Genomic DNA, 16,688 nt, shown 5'->3' on the forward strand with positions numbered 1-16,688 from the left:
TTCAAACCAACAGAGCTGAAAGTTGTTGTGACTCCCCAAGGAAAGAGTGAGAAAGAAAAGGCAAAGAAGATGGGGCTGGCAATGATGAAATCTCCTGCTTAGACAAAGCCCAGGACAGTTGGTTGGCATTTTCATTCTGGCTGGTTGCTCTGGCAGGCATGAGAAAATAAACAAAAGGGAGAACAGGTGGGAGAAAGTGCAGGCTGGTGAACCTTCTCTGTGCTCTGCCCACTGTCCTGAACTCTGAGGGCACGGGGAGTTATACTCTTTTACCAAACTGGCCAAATTCAGCCTGAAGGGCTCCTGGAGTCTTAGCCTACTCATTCTCAGATTTTAGCTTCCACCAACACCAACTAAACAAACCTGATCTTTTTAAAGAGGTTTTTTGTTTGTTTTTTGAGACAGAGTCTCTCACTTTCACCCAGGCTGGAGGGCAGTGGCACAATCTCAGCTCACTGTAACCTCCGCCTCCTGAGTTCAAGCCGTTTTCCTGCCTCAGCCACCCGAGTAGCTGGGACTACAGGAATGCACCACCAGGCCTGGCTGATTTTTGTATTTTTGGCAGAGATGGGGTTTCACCATGTTGGCCAGGCCGGTCTCAAACTCCTGACCTCAAGTGATCTGCCTGCCTTGGCCTCCCAAAGTGCTGGGATTACAGGCGTGAGCCACCACACCTGGCCAAGAGTTATTTATTTTTTTTGTGTGTGAAATCTGATGCCACTTTAAAATCAGCAGATCCTTACCCCATTCCCTTTCACTCTCAATTCCCACTTTCTGGAAGTAATTATTGTCAAGTCTTTCTGGTACTTCTGGTTATTTCTTCTGGTATTTATCCTATTTTCACATCAGATTTATGCGGCTAATGTTAATTATTTTCAGTTTTGGGGGTTAATCTATTGACTACTATGAAGATAATATGAAAATGTAGTTCTTCTATTACTTTCCATATTTTTCTGTAGTTTTTTGGTATCATTATTCTGCATTTACAATACTAGAACTGTGAAACAAGTATTCAAGCTGATTCAAGAAGTGTGCTGTGAGGATAATAATTCCCTCTCCAGACATTGTTTCTCCTGCAGTAAGTACTGCTTGGTTTTTCATTTGCTTAATTTTCCATGCATCTATCACTAATTCATTCCCCTTAATCTTTCCTTAAAGTGAAAAACAATTGAAAGATTTAATTTCCCATTCAGATAACATTTTCAGAGATTCACAGAATTCTACAGAGACAACAAACAACATGGTTTCTTCGACAGATGAATGTCTTGAAAAAAAAGGGAGGGAGGGAAAACTGTTACATAAGAGATTTAAGAGATATAGCAACCAAATGCCACGTGGGGGCCTCGTTGGGAGCCTCAGTCAAATAAATCCACTGTGGAAAAGACATTTTAAGACAATTAGGGAAATATGAACACAGATTGAGTCTTAGGACATATTAAGGTATAAGCATGTTTGCATCGGGTGAAATAATGGCCTTGTGGGTTATGTGTAAAAAATTCCATATCTGTTATGATACCTACGACTTATGTGTGAAATGACATACTTGTGATTTACTTTGAAAATATCCAACTTCCCTGCTCCCTCCCCTCCCACAAAAAAGTGATTTTGGGAGATACATTAAAAAATTCTGGGCCAGGGGCAGTGGCTCACGCCTGTAGTCCCAGCACTTTGGGAGGCCAAGTCAGGTGAATCACCTGAGGTCAGGAGTTCGAGACCAGCCTGGCCAACATGGTGAAACCCCGTCTCTACTAAAAATCCAAAAATTAGCCAGATGCAGTGGTGCACGCCTATAATCCCAGCTACTCGGGAGGCTGAGGCACGAGAATCGCTTGAACCCGGGAGGCAGAGGTTGCAGTGAGCCAAGATCGTGCCACTGCACGCCAGCCTGGGTGACAGAGCAAGATTCTGTCTCAAAAAAAAAAAAAAATTCTGGTAAAATAGTGATAATTACTTTATTATTATTTATTTATCGTTTTGAGACAGGGTCTCGCTCTGTCTTCCAGGCTGGAGTGCAGTGGTGCAATGATGGCTCACTGCAGCCTTGACCTCCTGGGCTCAAGCAATCCTTCCACCTCATCCTCCTCGGTAGCTGGGACTACAGGCATGTGCCACCATGCCTGGCTGATTTTTTTTTTCATTTTCTTGTGAGGCCTCACTATGTTGCCTAAACTGGTCTCCAACTCCCAGGCTCAAGTGATCCTCCCGCCTCACCCTCCCAAAGTACTTGGAATGCAGGCATGAGACATTGTGCCTAACCTATTTTACTGTTTTAGAGACAGGGTCTCAATCTGTTGCCCAGGCTGGAGTGCAGTGGCACAGTCATGGCTCACTGTAATCTTCAACTTCTGGGCTCAAGCAACCACCCACCTGCCTCAGGCTCCTGAGTAGCTGGGACTACAGGCATACGCCACCATGCCCAGATAACTTTATTTTTTGTAGAGACAGGGTCTTGCTATGTTGCCGGGCCAGTCTTGAACTCCTGGCCTCAAGCAATCCTCCCACCTCAGCCTCCTAAAGTGCAAGGATTACGGGCGTGAGCCACTGCACCTGGTCAGTACTTTATTCTTTTTACTGCTGAATAATACGCCATTGTATGGCTATACCATATTTCATTTATCCATCTGTTAGCTGATAGACATTTGGGTTGTTTCCCACCTTGTGGCTACTATGAATATTCATGTATACATAATTGTGTAGACATGTTTTCTTTTTCTTCTTTCTTTTTTTTTTTTTTTTTTTGAGACAGAGTCTCGCTTTGTGGCCCAGTCGGTAGCCCAGGCTGGAGTGCAGTAGTGCGATCTCAGCTCACTGCAACCTCTGGCTCTCATGTTCAAGCAATTCTCCTGCCTCAGCCTCCTGAGTAGCTGGGACTACAGGAGGCTCGATCCACCTGCCTTGGTCTCCTAAAGTGCTGGAATTACAGGCATGAGCCAACGCACCTGATCTGGACATATGTTTTCTTTTCTTTTTTTTTTGAGATGGAGTCTCACCCTGTTGCCTAGACTGGAGTGCAATGGCATGATCCTGGCTCACTGCAACCTCCACCTCCCAGGTTCAAGCGATTCTCCTGCCTCAGCCTCCCGAGTAGCTGGGATTACAGTGGCGCGCCATCACGCCCAGCTAATTTTTGTATTTTTAGTAGAGACGGGGTTTCACCATGTTGGTCAGGCTGGTCTCGAACTCCTGACCTCGTGATCCGCCTGCCTCGGCCTCCCAAAGTGCTGGGATTACCGGCATGAGCCATTATGCCCGGCCAGTATGTTTTCACTTCTCTTGGGTATATATCTATTTAGGAGTGGAACTGCTGAGTCATATGGAAATTTTACATTAAAACTTTTGAGGACCTGCCAGACTTTTCCAAAGTAGCCTTGTGACTGGTGGGGAGACTGAGGCCCAAAGAGGGAAACTGTCTTCTGCAAAGCAACACAGTGAGTGTGAGAAAGCAGGAGCTAATCATGGACATGACTTCAATGCTGCGCCTTCTCCTCTGACCGCATTACCATCTCACTCTCACTCCAGTGCTCTCCATACCCACTTCTGCCCCTCCATTCCATTCCTTGCCCAGCAGCAAATCCCTTCACACCAGTCCCTACAAAGGCTTCCTGCTGCCATCATCAGGATGAAGTTCCGCCTCTGAGGGATGACTTATAAGCTCCTCTGCCATCTGGCCCTAGTGCTGCCTCCTCATCTTGTCTTCTGAAGCAGTTTTAGTGAGCTATAATTCGCACCCCACCCCATTCACCCGTTTTAAGTGTACAATCCAAATGTTTATCAGTCCTTTCATACTCTACACTGCAGGGTCATGCAGGTCTTGTTTCAGTTCCATGAAAACACCAACATCTTTGCTTCTGAGACTTTGTGCACACCGTTACCTCTGTTTAGAACAGTCTGTATATTTTTTTCTGGCAAGTTCCTCATGATCTTTCACATCTTAGTTGAGATGTTTCTGCTGGGAAGCCTTCCCTGAGCATTCGGGTTGACTGGATGACCTGCAGGATGTTCCCATGGCCTCCCTAGGATCGTCCCTGTCACAGCATGTACTATAGTAGTCTGAGGTTTTTTGGTTTTTGTTTTTTTTTTGAGATGGAGTCTCACTCTATCGCCCGGGCTGGAGTGCAGTGGCGCAATCTCGGCTCACTGCAAGCTCCACCTCCTGGGTTCACGCCATTCTCCTGCCTCAGCCTCCAAAGTAGCTGGGCCTACAGGCACCCGCCACCATGCCCGGCTAATTTTTTTGTATTTTTTAGTGGAGAGAGGGTTTCACCGTGTTAGCCAGGTTGGTCTAGCAGTCTGAGTTTTTAAGGTCTGTGACTGTGTCTTGTTCATATGCAGTGCCTGGCAACACTCAATTCACTATTGGTTGAATGAACAGAAAGATCTGAAAATATCTAGCATGGCCCTGAGCACACTGTAGAAATCCTGCAAATGTTTGCAGACCGCAATTACTTCCAAGGACAGGGACAGCACCTCCTGTTGGGAACATTCCAGATGGTTTGGATGATTAAAGGTAAGATAAGATATTTTTTGTCTGGTACCCATGCCACTTCTTCAGGCAACAGCATCCCAGTTTTCCTTTGGGGAATCACTCTTATTATACCTTCAGTTCTTATAGTTTATGAGAAGCTAAGCAGTTCCTGGAATTTGCAGTTGACTTAAGGCAGATGAGTTAAGATGCAACCCTAACTTTTCCTAGATTTTTTAAAAAGGGGTGCTTTCTTTTCACTAGGATTACTAATCTCGTGCCTCTATAAGAAAACTAACTGTCTAAGAAGCAGACTTGAGAAAGCAACTGAGTCCTGATGATATCATGAGAGGCCCTGGACCCAGCTGTGCCTGAAGCCAACCACCAGACATTTTAGTTATTGAGTCAATTTCCATTCCTTTTTAATTGCTTGAGTTCAGCTTGTCACCTGCAACTGCAATATTCCTAATCCAGTTAGTAACCCTCTTTCACATACACACATACCCATCACACACCTTACAGACCAAACAGAGGAATCGAGCTGACTTTTGTCCCTAAGCACGGGTTTACCTACTCACCTCAAATCTAAATTGTATTTTTCTGAGTTGTGTTGTGCAGTTGACTGTCAATATTTAGCTTTCCTTGTACGGTACTTTCTATACCAAGCTTGTCTGGCCTGTAGGCTGCATGCCGCCCAGGACAGCTTGGTATGGGGCCCAACACAAATTCATAAACTTTCTTAAAACATTGTTTTTTGTTTGTTTTGTAGCTTATCAGCTATCGTCAGTGTTAGTGTATTTTATGTGTGGCCCAAGACAATTCTTATTCCAGTGTGGCCCAGGGAGGCCAAAGGATTGGACACCCCTGTTCTATTCCATGATCAGCAAGTAGACATTTGCGGTGTCCTAAGTAGTATCAGGTGATAAGTCAAGGTGGATGGAAGAGATGCAATTCTCATTTATAGCCTGGCCCAAATTGAACTCCAAGAAACACACACAATAAGCACTGCTCCCTAAGCCTGTGCGCTGTTCTGGAAAGAGCCTACTAAAACAACCTTGGCTTTTCTTTTTGACTCGCTGATGCCAAGGACAGGTCTGTGCATTTACTACCAGTACAATGGGACAGGAAAGTCTCACACACATTTTTTTATTCTTTGAGATGGAGTTTCACTCTTGTTGCCCAGGCTGGAGTGCAGTGGCACGATCTCGGCTCACTGCAACCTCTGCCTCCCAGGTTCAAGTGGTTCTCCTGCCTCAGCCTCCCGAGTAACTGGGATTACAGGTGCACACCACCATGCCTGGCTAATTTTTGTATATTTAGTAGAGACGGGGTCTCACCATGTTGGCCAGGCTGGTCACACACATTTTAACCACCCATCTTTGCTACAAGGGAAAAAGGCCAAACCTTGTGTGGGTGAAGAGGCAGACTCAAATGCTCCCGATGCAGAGGAACGAGGCGGCTACCACTCAATCACCAATTACCATTTGCATGCTACCCAACCTGGACCTTTCCAGGGCATACTGGACCACTCCCCACTTCCTTGGGGTGCAATGAATTGCAGACAGTTTAATCCATGGGCTTTTGCTGATTCTGTTTTCTCTGCTTGGAATGCCCTTCTACACAGAGGAAGTCTTTCAAGACCCAGGTCAAAGGTTAGCTCTCCTGTGAACACTTGTTCCTTTTCTATCTGGTATAAGCAGCCATTTTAACTATCGTTAAAGGTCAGGGTTTCTTAACTTGGGTCTGCGGGTCATTATGAATAAGTTTTAGAGGGACATGTCTGTATCTATGTCCACATATGTTACTCTGGAGGCCAGGGTCAGAGATTCCAGATTCTCAGATTCGGTGACCTCAAAAAAAGGTCTCTTTTGGCCAGGCACAGTGGCTCATGCCTGTAATCCCAGCACTTTGGGAGGGTGAGGCAGGAGGATGGCTTGAGCTCACAAGTTCAAGACCAGTCTGGGCAACATAGCAAGGTATCGTCTCTAAAAAAATAATAAAAAATTTTAAAAAGCTCTTAGGTGTCTCTCTCTTGTGAGTTGAGGGCAAGGTTCACATCTCTTTCGTCTTAGACTCCCCGCACTGATCCAAGATAGACAGTCAACTGCTGGCAGAAGGTTGTTAGTGACTTACAGAGGCAACACTTTCACAGGCAAAGAAGAGAAAACAGGACGGTTTAATTTGTGGAGTCGAGTCGTTTGTTCTTAATTACTGCACTCAACATGCAAATTATATTCACCTCTTGGTACAGAAATGGCACCGTCACTTCCCTGGGACCTTTAATCCAGACAGAATTATTCTTGGGCACCCTTATCTGTGTGTCTACCAACAACTGCCGTCTCTCCCTTCTTACAGCAATATGTAAATTCTCTTTTGTTCCAAGCAACTGGGAAATGAGGTCCTTCATCCAAAGGAGTAGCCATTTCCAGTATAGCACCACTGATTTGTCAATGGATTTGATAAGATTTGATACACTGACATCCAGATCAAGATTTTGCATTATTTATAGACAGTCTCTGATGATCCCAAAGGCACTTTAGAATCTGGCAGTGCCTCAGGGTCACTGATTTTCACTGGGCAGAATTAAGTGATATAGAAGGTTTGCTGAGTCTGTCCTGACCCTGGGTATTCACTCTGAAGAGAGTTTATTTGAATAAGGTTTTGACATATTTGGTCTCTATGTCTATGTAGGCTCAAAATGAACAGGGAGATTCATTTTGTTCATCCATAGTTTCTAAACCTTTGGTAGTGGAAATGGTTTACTTGTGTAAAGAAAGTTAACAATACTAACAAAACTAATGGTAAAACACAGGGTGTTTGGATCCCAAGAAAACAGGAGTTTACTGTGGCTAGATGTCAGGCTGACTGCACATAATCATTAGCTATAATTAACAATGCTTCCTTCGAAGACTGGGCTTCTGCTAAGATAGATATATATATATATATATATATATTTTTTTTTTTTTTTCAGATGGAGTTTTGCTCTGTCGCCCAGGCTGGAGCGCAGTGGCACGATGTCAGCTCACTGCATCCTCCGCCTCCTAGGTTTAAGCAGTTCTCTGCCTCAGCCTCCCAAGTAGCTGGGATTACAGGTGCCCACCACCACGCCCGGCTAATTTTTTTTTGTATTTTTAGTAGAGATGGGGTTTCACCATCTTGGCCAGGCTGATCTTGAACTCCTGATCTCGTGACCCACCCGCCTCAGCCTCCCAAAATCCTGGGATTACAGGCGTGAGCCACTGCGCCTGGCCAAGATTTTATATATTATCAGTAGCCTGAGGTTTCCCCCTTTCTCTGACTTTCATTACTAGAGTCACCAGAAGGAACATTTACAACATTTTAAAAATAACAAGTTGCCCAGCATACTCCTATTTCCTCTAGTTTCAAACATAAAGGGGAACCCAGCCCAGACAAGAACAAGCCTTGCTGCATGCCTGCCAGCTCGTGCATCCTCCTTTTTATTTCAAGAGGTGCCAGCTCCAAACAAAGTTACAAGGTTAAGTGCAACTCCAAGTTCCTGACACAGCTAATCCCTGCTCGGTCTTCAAAAAATAGAGGTCTGTAATTCCTTTTTGAACATGCCTTCGAAGTGGAGGTCTTTGGCCATGAGCTCTTCTTCGACATCATCTAGTGCCCACTGGTGATCCGTCAGCTCCAAAGCTTCCCACTCTGTCTGTAATGGAAGAGAACACCCAGGCAGGAAGAGAGGGAATTGTTACTGACAGCTGTGGCTAACCTTTAGTGACCACTTACTCTGGGCCAAAAGCTGGAGTGAGCTATCTGCATGTATAAGCTCATTCAATCCTACAAGGGAAATGCTGCTACCCCAATCCTCTCCTCCCCCTCTTCCTGCCACCCCTCAATTTATAGATAAGGAGACTAAGACTAAGAGGTCAAATAATTTGTTCAAGGCCACTGGCACTAGGAACTAATGGAGCTGAGATTTAAATTGTGGTCTGACTGCAAAGTCCCCAGCGCTTAACCCGTCTATCAGCTCACACTCACTAAGCACCTTTGTGCCCCACAGTACTCTTGAGAGATGTACAACAGACAAATTAGTGCAGATTCTCAGCTCTTTAATCAAGGGACTTGCCATCTGGTTTAAATGGTGCATGGTCCACAATGCTTTGACATAAATGGCCCAGGGTATCTTCAGTGGGCCTAAGAACACTTCCTCCAACCTTATGTCCAGACACACAATGGCACTTCATTACAGTTTGTGGGAGTCCAGTAATTTTTAATCACTGGAATAAAGACTTTGATGATGTGAACTAAAAAACTGTTTTTGGCATATAATCATTTAGATGTAAACTAGTAATATGTTGAGCAGAAATAAATTTGCAGAATTTTCCAAGAAATTACATTTCTCAAATATTCTATTAATCTGACTACTTTGCCTTAAATTAGTGAGTGTCTAAAAAATGCTTTATGAGTTGGGTGCAGTGGCATGCATCTACAGTCCCAGCTACTCTGGAGGCTGAGGCTAAGGATAGCTTGAGCCCAGGAGTTTGGGACTGCCCTGGACAACCTATCTTTAGATGAGCCTAGAGATAGTAATACCTCGTCTTTAAAAATAAATTAAAAAAAAAAAAAAAAAGCTTGCGAGATGTGGTAGCTCACACCTGTAATCCTAGCACTTTGGGAGGCCAAGGCAGGAGGATCACTTGAGGATGGGAGTTCAAGACCAGCCTGGGCAACACAGCGAGATCCCATCTCTATACAAATTTAAAAAAAAATTAGTTGGGTGTGGTGGTGTGTGCCTGTAGTACTGGCTTCTCGTGTACCAGTACTGAGGCTGAGGTGGGAGGAATGCTTAAGTCCAGGAGTTCGAGGCTGCAGTGAGCAAGGATTGTACCACTGCACTCCAGCCTGGGTGACACAGTGAGACCCTCGATAGATAGATAGATAGATAGATAGATAGATAGATAGATAGATAGAACAAGCTTATTTAATGTGAAATACAAATGTTAGCTCATGAGTGAGTTTTTCAGATATAATTTACATGTCATACAATTTACCCCTTTAATGTGTATAATTTAGTGATTTTTAGTATATTCATATGTGCAACCACCACCACTATCTAATTGCAGAACACTTTTATCATAACAAAAAGAAACCACATACCAAACAGTAGACAGCTCCCATTATTCACCTCCCACAACCTCTGGCAACTACTACGTTATCTTCCGTATCTTTTTTTCACTTATTCTGGGCATATGTGGCCTTTTGTTATTTTCTTTCACTTAGCATGTTTTCAAGGTTCTTCCCTGTTTAACATGATTCAGTATTCCACTCTTATTTATAGCTGAATAACACTCCATTGTATATATTCTACTGTACATACAATGTACATTATATTCCAAAATATTCCATTGTTTATTCATTCATTAGATGATGGACATTTGGGTTATGTCTACTTTTTGATTATTATGAATCATGCTCTGAACACATTCTCACATAAGTTTCTGTGTGGACATACATTTTCAGTTCTCTTGAGTATTTACTTAAGAGTGAAATTACTGGATCATATAGTAACTATGTTTTAACTGTTTGAGGAAAGGCAGAAAAACTGTTTTCCAAAGTGGCTGTACCATCATCAACAATAGGGTTCCAATTTCTCCACATCCTTACCGACACTTGTTATTGTTGATCTTTTTTTTTATTAATTATAACCATCTGAGTGGGCATGAAGTGGTATCTGTTTTTTTTTTTTTTTGAGATGGAGTCTCGCTCTGGCACCCAGGCTGGAGTGCAGTGGCGCAATCTCCGCTCACTGCAACCTCCGCCTCCCAGGTTTAGGCAATTCTCCTGCCTCAGCCTCCTGAGCAGCTGGGACTACAGGCGCCCGCCACCACGCCCGGCTAATTTTTGTATTTTTAGTAGAGATGGGGTTTCACCATGTTGACCAAGCTGATCTTGAACTTCTGACCTTGTGATCCACCCACCTCAGCCTCCCAAAGTGCTGGGATTACAGGCGTGAGCCACCATGCCCAGCCCTCTCACTGTTTTTTAGTTGTTTATTTTTTTGAGACAGAGTGATCTCACTCTGTCACCCAGGGTGGAGTGCAGTGGCGCCATCTTGGCTCACTGCAACCTCTGCATCTGCAATGGTGGATCTCGGCTCACTGCAACCTCTGCCTCCCAGGTTCAAGCAATTCTCATGCCTCAGCCTCCTGAGTAGCTGGGATTACAGGCAGGCACCACTATGCCCAGCTAATTTTTGTATTTTTAGTGGAGATGGCATTTCACCATGTTGGCCAGGCTGGTCTCAAGCTCCTGACCTCAAATGATCTGCCTGTCTCAGCCTCCCAAAGTGCTGGGATTAAGGTGTAAGCCACTGCGCCCAGCCAAATTTTTATTTTTTTATTGTGGTAAAATATATGTAACATAACATACACCACTTTTAACCATTTCAGATGTAAAATTCAGTGGCATTAATGACATTCACAATGTGTACCCATGTCTACTATCATTTCCAAAGTTTTATGTCCCCTTAAACAGAAAATGTGCACAGTAAGCAATTACTCCCCACTGCCCCCCATCCCATCCTCAGTAAACTCTAACCTACTTTCTTGTCTCTGTGAATTTTCCTATTCCAAATATTTTATATGAGTAATATCATGCAATATTAAAGATTTGGGACTTTGACCCATTTGATTTCTTTTTTCAAGACAGGGTCTCGCTCTGTCACCCAAGCTGGTGTGCAGTGGCACAATCACAGCTCATTGCAGCCTCAAACTCCTCAGCTCAAGTGGTCCTCCCATCTATAGGCATGCACCACCACATTTGGCTAATTTGAACCTAATTTTTTTTTTTCTTCTGCACTAACATGCCTGTTGAACCATTTGGACTTAACTTTTGTGCATGGTGTGAAATAGGTGCCCAGCCTCATTCTTTTGCATGTAGATATCCTTTTCCCAGCACCATTCGTTGAATGGAGACTATTCTTTCCCCACTGAATAGTCTTGGTACCCTCTTTGAAAATCAATTGATGATAAATAGATGTGTTTATTTCTGAACTCTCCATTTTATTCCATTGACCTATATCTCTCCTTATGCCAGTTTTTATTACTGTGCAGTTTTGATTACTACAGCTTTGTAATAGGCTTTAAAACCACGGCGTGTAAGTTATTCAATTTTGCCAACATTTTTGCCTATTGTGATTCCCTTGAATTTCCACATGAACTTCACAAGCAGCTTGTCAATTTCTGCAAGAATGGCAAGTAAGATTTTTATAGGGATTGTGTTCAATCTGTGGATAAATTTGGAGTATTGCCATCTTAACAATATTAAGTCTTCCAATCTATGAACATGGATGTCTTTCCATTTATTTAAGTCTTTAATTTCTTTCAGCAATGTTTTGTAATTTTTCAGTATGTCGGTTTAAATCTAACAAAAGGCCATTTCTTTTTTTTTGAGACGAAGTCTCGCTCTGTCACCAGGCTGGAGTCTAGTGGCGTGATCTTGACTCACTGCAACCTCTGCCTCCCGGGTTCAAGTGATTCTCCTGCCTCAGCCTCCCGAGTAGCTGGGACTACAGGCAGGCACCACCATGCACAGCTAATTTTTGTATTTTTAGTAGAGATGGCGTTTCGCCACGTTGGCCAGGATGGTCTTGATCTCTTGACGTTGTGATCTGCCCACCTCAGCCTCCCAAAGTGCTAGGATTACAGGCGTTAACCACCATGCCCGGCCACGGCCATTTCTTTTGTTAGATTTGTTCCTAAATATTTTATTCGTTTTGATACTATTATAAATAAAATTGTTTTCCTTTCATTTCCAATTCTTCATTACCAGTGTATAGAAATACAATTGATGTTGAACTTATTTATTAGCTCTGTTAGTTTTCTTGTGGATTCTTTAGGATGATCTACATACAACACCATGCCATTTGCAAACAGAGATAGTTTTACTTCCTTTCTAATCTGAATGGCTTTTTTATTTCTTTTTCTTGCCTAACTGCCCTGGCTAGTACATCCTGGACAATGATGAATAGAAGTGGCAAGAACAGACATCCTTGTCTTGTTCTTAATCTTAAAGGGAAAGCTTTCAGTCTTTCACCATTGAGTATGATGTTAGCTGTGGGTCTGTCATAGATGTCCTTTATCAGGCTGAGAAATTTCTCTCTTTTTTTTTTTGAGACGGAATCTTGGTCTGTCATCCAGGCTGGAGTGCAGTGGCACGATCTTGGCTCACTACAGCCTCCGCCTCCCAGGTTCCAGTGATTCTCCTGCCTCAGCCTCCTGGGTGGCTGGGATTATAGGCACATGCCACCGTGCCCAGCTCATTTTTGTATTTTTTTTTTTTTTTTGAGACAGAGTTTTGCTCTTGTTGCCCAGGCTGGAGTGCAATGGTGCAATCAATCTCAGCTCACTGCAAACTCCACCTCCTGAGTTCAAGCAATTCTGTCTCAGCCTCCCAAGTAACTGGGATTACAGGTGCCCACCACCATGCCCAGCAAATTTTTTTTTTGTATCTTTAGTAGAAAAGAGGTTTCACCATGTTGGCCAGGCTGGTCTTGAACTCCTGACCTCAGCTGACCCACCTGCCTTGGCCTCCCAAAGTGCTGGGATTACAGGCGTGAGCCACCGCACCTGGCCCATTTTTGTATTTTTAATAGAGACAGGGTTTCACCATGTTGTCCAGGCTGGTGTCGAACTCCTGAACTCAGGTGATCTGCCCACCTTGGCCTCCCAAAGTGCTGGGATTACACGTGTGAGCCCCTGTGCCTGGCCGGAACTTCCCTTCTCTTTTAGTTTCTATCATGAAACACAGTGAGATTTTGTCCCACAAAAATCATACTAAATTTTGCAAATTCTAGAACCTTTTTGTGAAAAGGCTCTTAGTATTGTTTTTTTAATGCAATTTATATCTGATGTCTATGGGGTTCAAAAAGGTTCAAATTATTCTAAATGTTTACCTGGCACCTCCGATTGGATTATTTTACAGCATCATTGATAGTGTGGATTAAATTCCAGTGAGCATTTAAAAACCAGTAAAAGCACCAAGAATTTCCATTTACTTAATAGATGATTCTGTCTCAGGAAAGAGAGACGTGTAAACTATGTTTTTACTAAGTTTAAATTAAAACGATGGAACCACACAACACTCCCTTCAAGGAAGCTATTTTTAAAATAGCTCTTGGTAACACCTTTCAGAGCATTGCTGCAGCTTTGAAAGGTGAAGGAGTATACCTTGAAAGCTTTGTTTGTGTCTGCGGGCATGGCCATGGCTGCTCCCGTCATCTGCTCCTGCATCATTCGTGATTGGTCAGCGGCTGTAGCATAAGACACACTTACATGAGTGCCAGGACTCAGCAAGCACCCCAGCACCCAAGGGGAAGAATGGGCTTCACACAGATTAGAGAACTGGACTACAGCCTCACTGGCTGGCCCTGTCACCCACTGGCTATGTGACTCTAGGAAAGTCACTTTGTGTCTCCTGAAAAATGGGGACAGTAACAGCAAAAGAGAGATCACTAAAGGAAGCTCTAAACTTTATTTCAAATTTCAACAATAACAGCCACCAGTTATTGAGCAACTACTGCATGCCAAGTACTTCACTAAGTGCTTTGCATATTTTTCCTCATCTGTTCCTAACAACCCCACAGGTTAACTAATAAAGTCCTTATTTACAGATAAGTAAATAGAGAATTCGAAGTTAAGTAACTTGTTAAGTAACTTTTCTGAGGTCCCAGCCAGTAAACAAGAGAGCAAGGATTAGTACTGGCAAGGGCTCTAGTCAATGAACTGACAAACCAAGCCTTCTTTAAGCTTTAGGTTCACAGGCTTACACTGCTGGTGCTGGATCCCTCACATGATGGTATCAGACTCTGGGGAATCAAAATACTGTCCCAGTCATTGCCAGAGAGAATTGAGATCTTCAGTTTGACCCCCGGAATTTTTAAGACTCTTTCAGAATACCTCAGAAACTTAAGGAAGGAAACATTTTATTTGACTATGGTAACAAACAGCACAACCTACAAGACTTTTCTGGCTCTAATATGGATGATTCATCTATGGAAGTATTTGCTTAGTAAACCTGACATGCTTCTTACCATTATCTTGGCCCAGAATCAGAGAGTAAATGCTCCGAAGCCCAAATACATTGAGGAAGTACCAGGATGCAGAACTCACCCTGGCAAAGCAAAATGAAAATGGTGTGGTTAGTTATTATATCAGAGAGTAATGCAGTTCCCACTTCCCTACCACCCAAAGTTGTTCAGTGTTTGTAAAGAAGTCACCTTGGATGGGCTATATTCATCCAAAGCACAACCACAGAAGAAATACAAGTTGTTAAAGCAGTCTCACCAATACAGAACTATATTTCAAAAAATCCAAAGGTGACTCCCATTCTGAATTCCATTCCCTAGAGGAAATCACAAGTGTTGGTGTGTTCCATACTTTTTTTTTTTTTGAGACGGAGTCTCACCCTGTTACCCAGGCTGGAGTGCAGTGGCGCAATCTTGGCTCACTGCAACCTCTGCCACCTGGGTTCAAGAGATTCTCCTGCCTCAACCTCCTGAGTAGCTGGGACTACAGGCACACACCACCATGCCTGGCTAATTTTTATATTTTTATTAGAGATGGGGTCTCACCATGTTGGCCAAGCTGGTCTCGAACTCCTGACCTCAAGTGATCCGCCCACCTCAGCCTCCCAAAGTGCTGGGATTACAGGCGTGAGCCACTGGGTGTGTTCCATACTTACAAGAAGGGATGAGACATGGATTTCAGGAAATACAGTACCGAGGACTATAGCTACTGGGAGAGCCATTCCAAGTTTTGAACTATATCACTGAGGCTTCCTTTAGCTTAGGTTTCCTACTCAACCTCCATAAAATAAATATGCTTGCATATAATAAAAACTAAAAACAAAAATGCATATGGGAAGTGATAGATAAATGGAAAGATCCACACTCATTCCAACAAGTGGGTCACATAAGGGCAAGAGTCTATTCTGGTTACTCCATAGGCTGCAGGTAAGTAAATGGCCTGTCTGAATACAATGTTGCTGATCTCACCACAGTGGTAATTGTACACTCAGGTTCCAGTCTCGCGTCTGTCCATGACTGCATTTCAGTCACATGCCTCTCTGGATGCTGAGAAAAGATAAATAAGCTTTTCTCCAACCCATGAAGTTTTTGTTTAGCCCAATGAGACTGAAGGTAAAAGTAGAATAGACTCATGCTACTCATATAATGTACAGCTTTTCTTCTCTAGCAGAACTGTGCATGGCCCAGCCTTCCCAGCCTCTGGCCTTTCCTGCTCCTCCCACACATCCTAGAGGGCTCTGCTCAAACCAAGTAGTCAAGATTACCACTAGTAATCCCCATTTTGTCCATTTTTCTTTTCCTCTTGTTTATGCCAGTCTTTGGGAAGCCACAGGCAAGAGTCTGGAGAGGCTACATGAAGCAGCATTACTAGGTTCCAGATATTGTAGCAGTATTTTCTAAGAGCTTTTCAGATTTTAATTTTTCTTATTCTGCCATTCAAAAAAAAATAGTGGTATTCAGAAGGAGAAATCTCTTTTAAAAAATTATAAAGAGTGGTAAGTAACACATGGGTGCTGGATTTGAACAGACCTTGTCATCAAATGTCAATTCCTACACAGGTTTCATAGGTTGCTATGAGGGTAAAATATGGAAAACGCTAAGCCCAGTGACTAGAACTAATGAAAACTATTATCATTAGTAGTAATGTACTTTGGAAAAAAAAAAATACAAACTTCCACTCCCATAAGCTCAAGGGTATTACTAAAAATGATTGCCTGGCCAGAATTCCTGGCTTAAACTTGTAACTTTCTGGGGGTTGATACATCCACCCCTGCATTCTTAAGCCCCCAATTGTGATAGAAAAGAGGTGACACATTCTTTCCTTTTGCTAGACTCATGTAAAAGTTGCCATAAACCACCCATGGCATTTTCAGTGGAGTTTCAATGAAAAAAAAAAAAAAAAAAAAAACTCTGGCCAGGCGTGGTGGCTCATGCCTGTAATCCCAGCACTATGGGAGGCTGAGGCAGGTGGATAACTTGAGGTCAGTAGTTCGAGACCAGCCTGGCCAACATGGTGAAACCCTGTCTCCATGAAAAATAAAAAAATTACCCGGATGTGGTGGTGCACACCTGTAATCCAAGTACTCGGGAGGCTGAGGCAGGAGAATCGCTTGAACCTAGGAGGTGGAGGTTGCAGTGATATCGCACCGCTGCACTCCAAGCTGGGTGACAGAG

At 43.3% G+C, this 16,688-nt stretch overlaps 1 protein-coding gene across 3 annotated transcripts in view; it reads right to left on the reverse strand.

Moving 5' to 3' along the window:
• Positions 1-6,619: 6,619 nt before the first annotated feature.
• Positions 6,620-16,688, reverse strand: part of EMC3 (ER membrane protein complex subunit 3) — a 48,437-nt gene continuing 38,368 nt past the window's right edge. For 2 of the 3 annotated variants that reach the window (NM_018447.4, NM_001394674.1), the window contains 3 exons: positions 14,520-14,599; positions 13,657-13,739; positions 6,620-8,135 (listed from right to left, as the gene is read on the reverse strand). In NM_018447.4, coding sequence (NP_060917.1) covers positions 8,007-8,135; positions 13,657-13,739; positions 14,520-14,599 — 292 coding nt within the window. In that variant the 3' untranslated portion in view covers positions 6,620-8,006. Of the gene's footprint in view, positions 8,136-13,458; positions 13,740-14,519; positions 14,600-16,688 lie in introns of those variants that run through there. The other variant, XM_005265321.4, reaches the window with a different exon arrangement.

This window comes from Homo sapiens, chromosome 3 (genome assembly GCF_000001405.40).
Source record: "Homo sapiens chromosome 3, GRCh38.p14 Primary Assembly".
In the NCBI taxonomy this organism is placed as follows: Eukaryota; Metazoa; Chordata; class Mammalia; order Primates; family Hominidae; genus Homo; species Homo sapiens.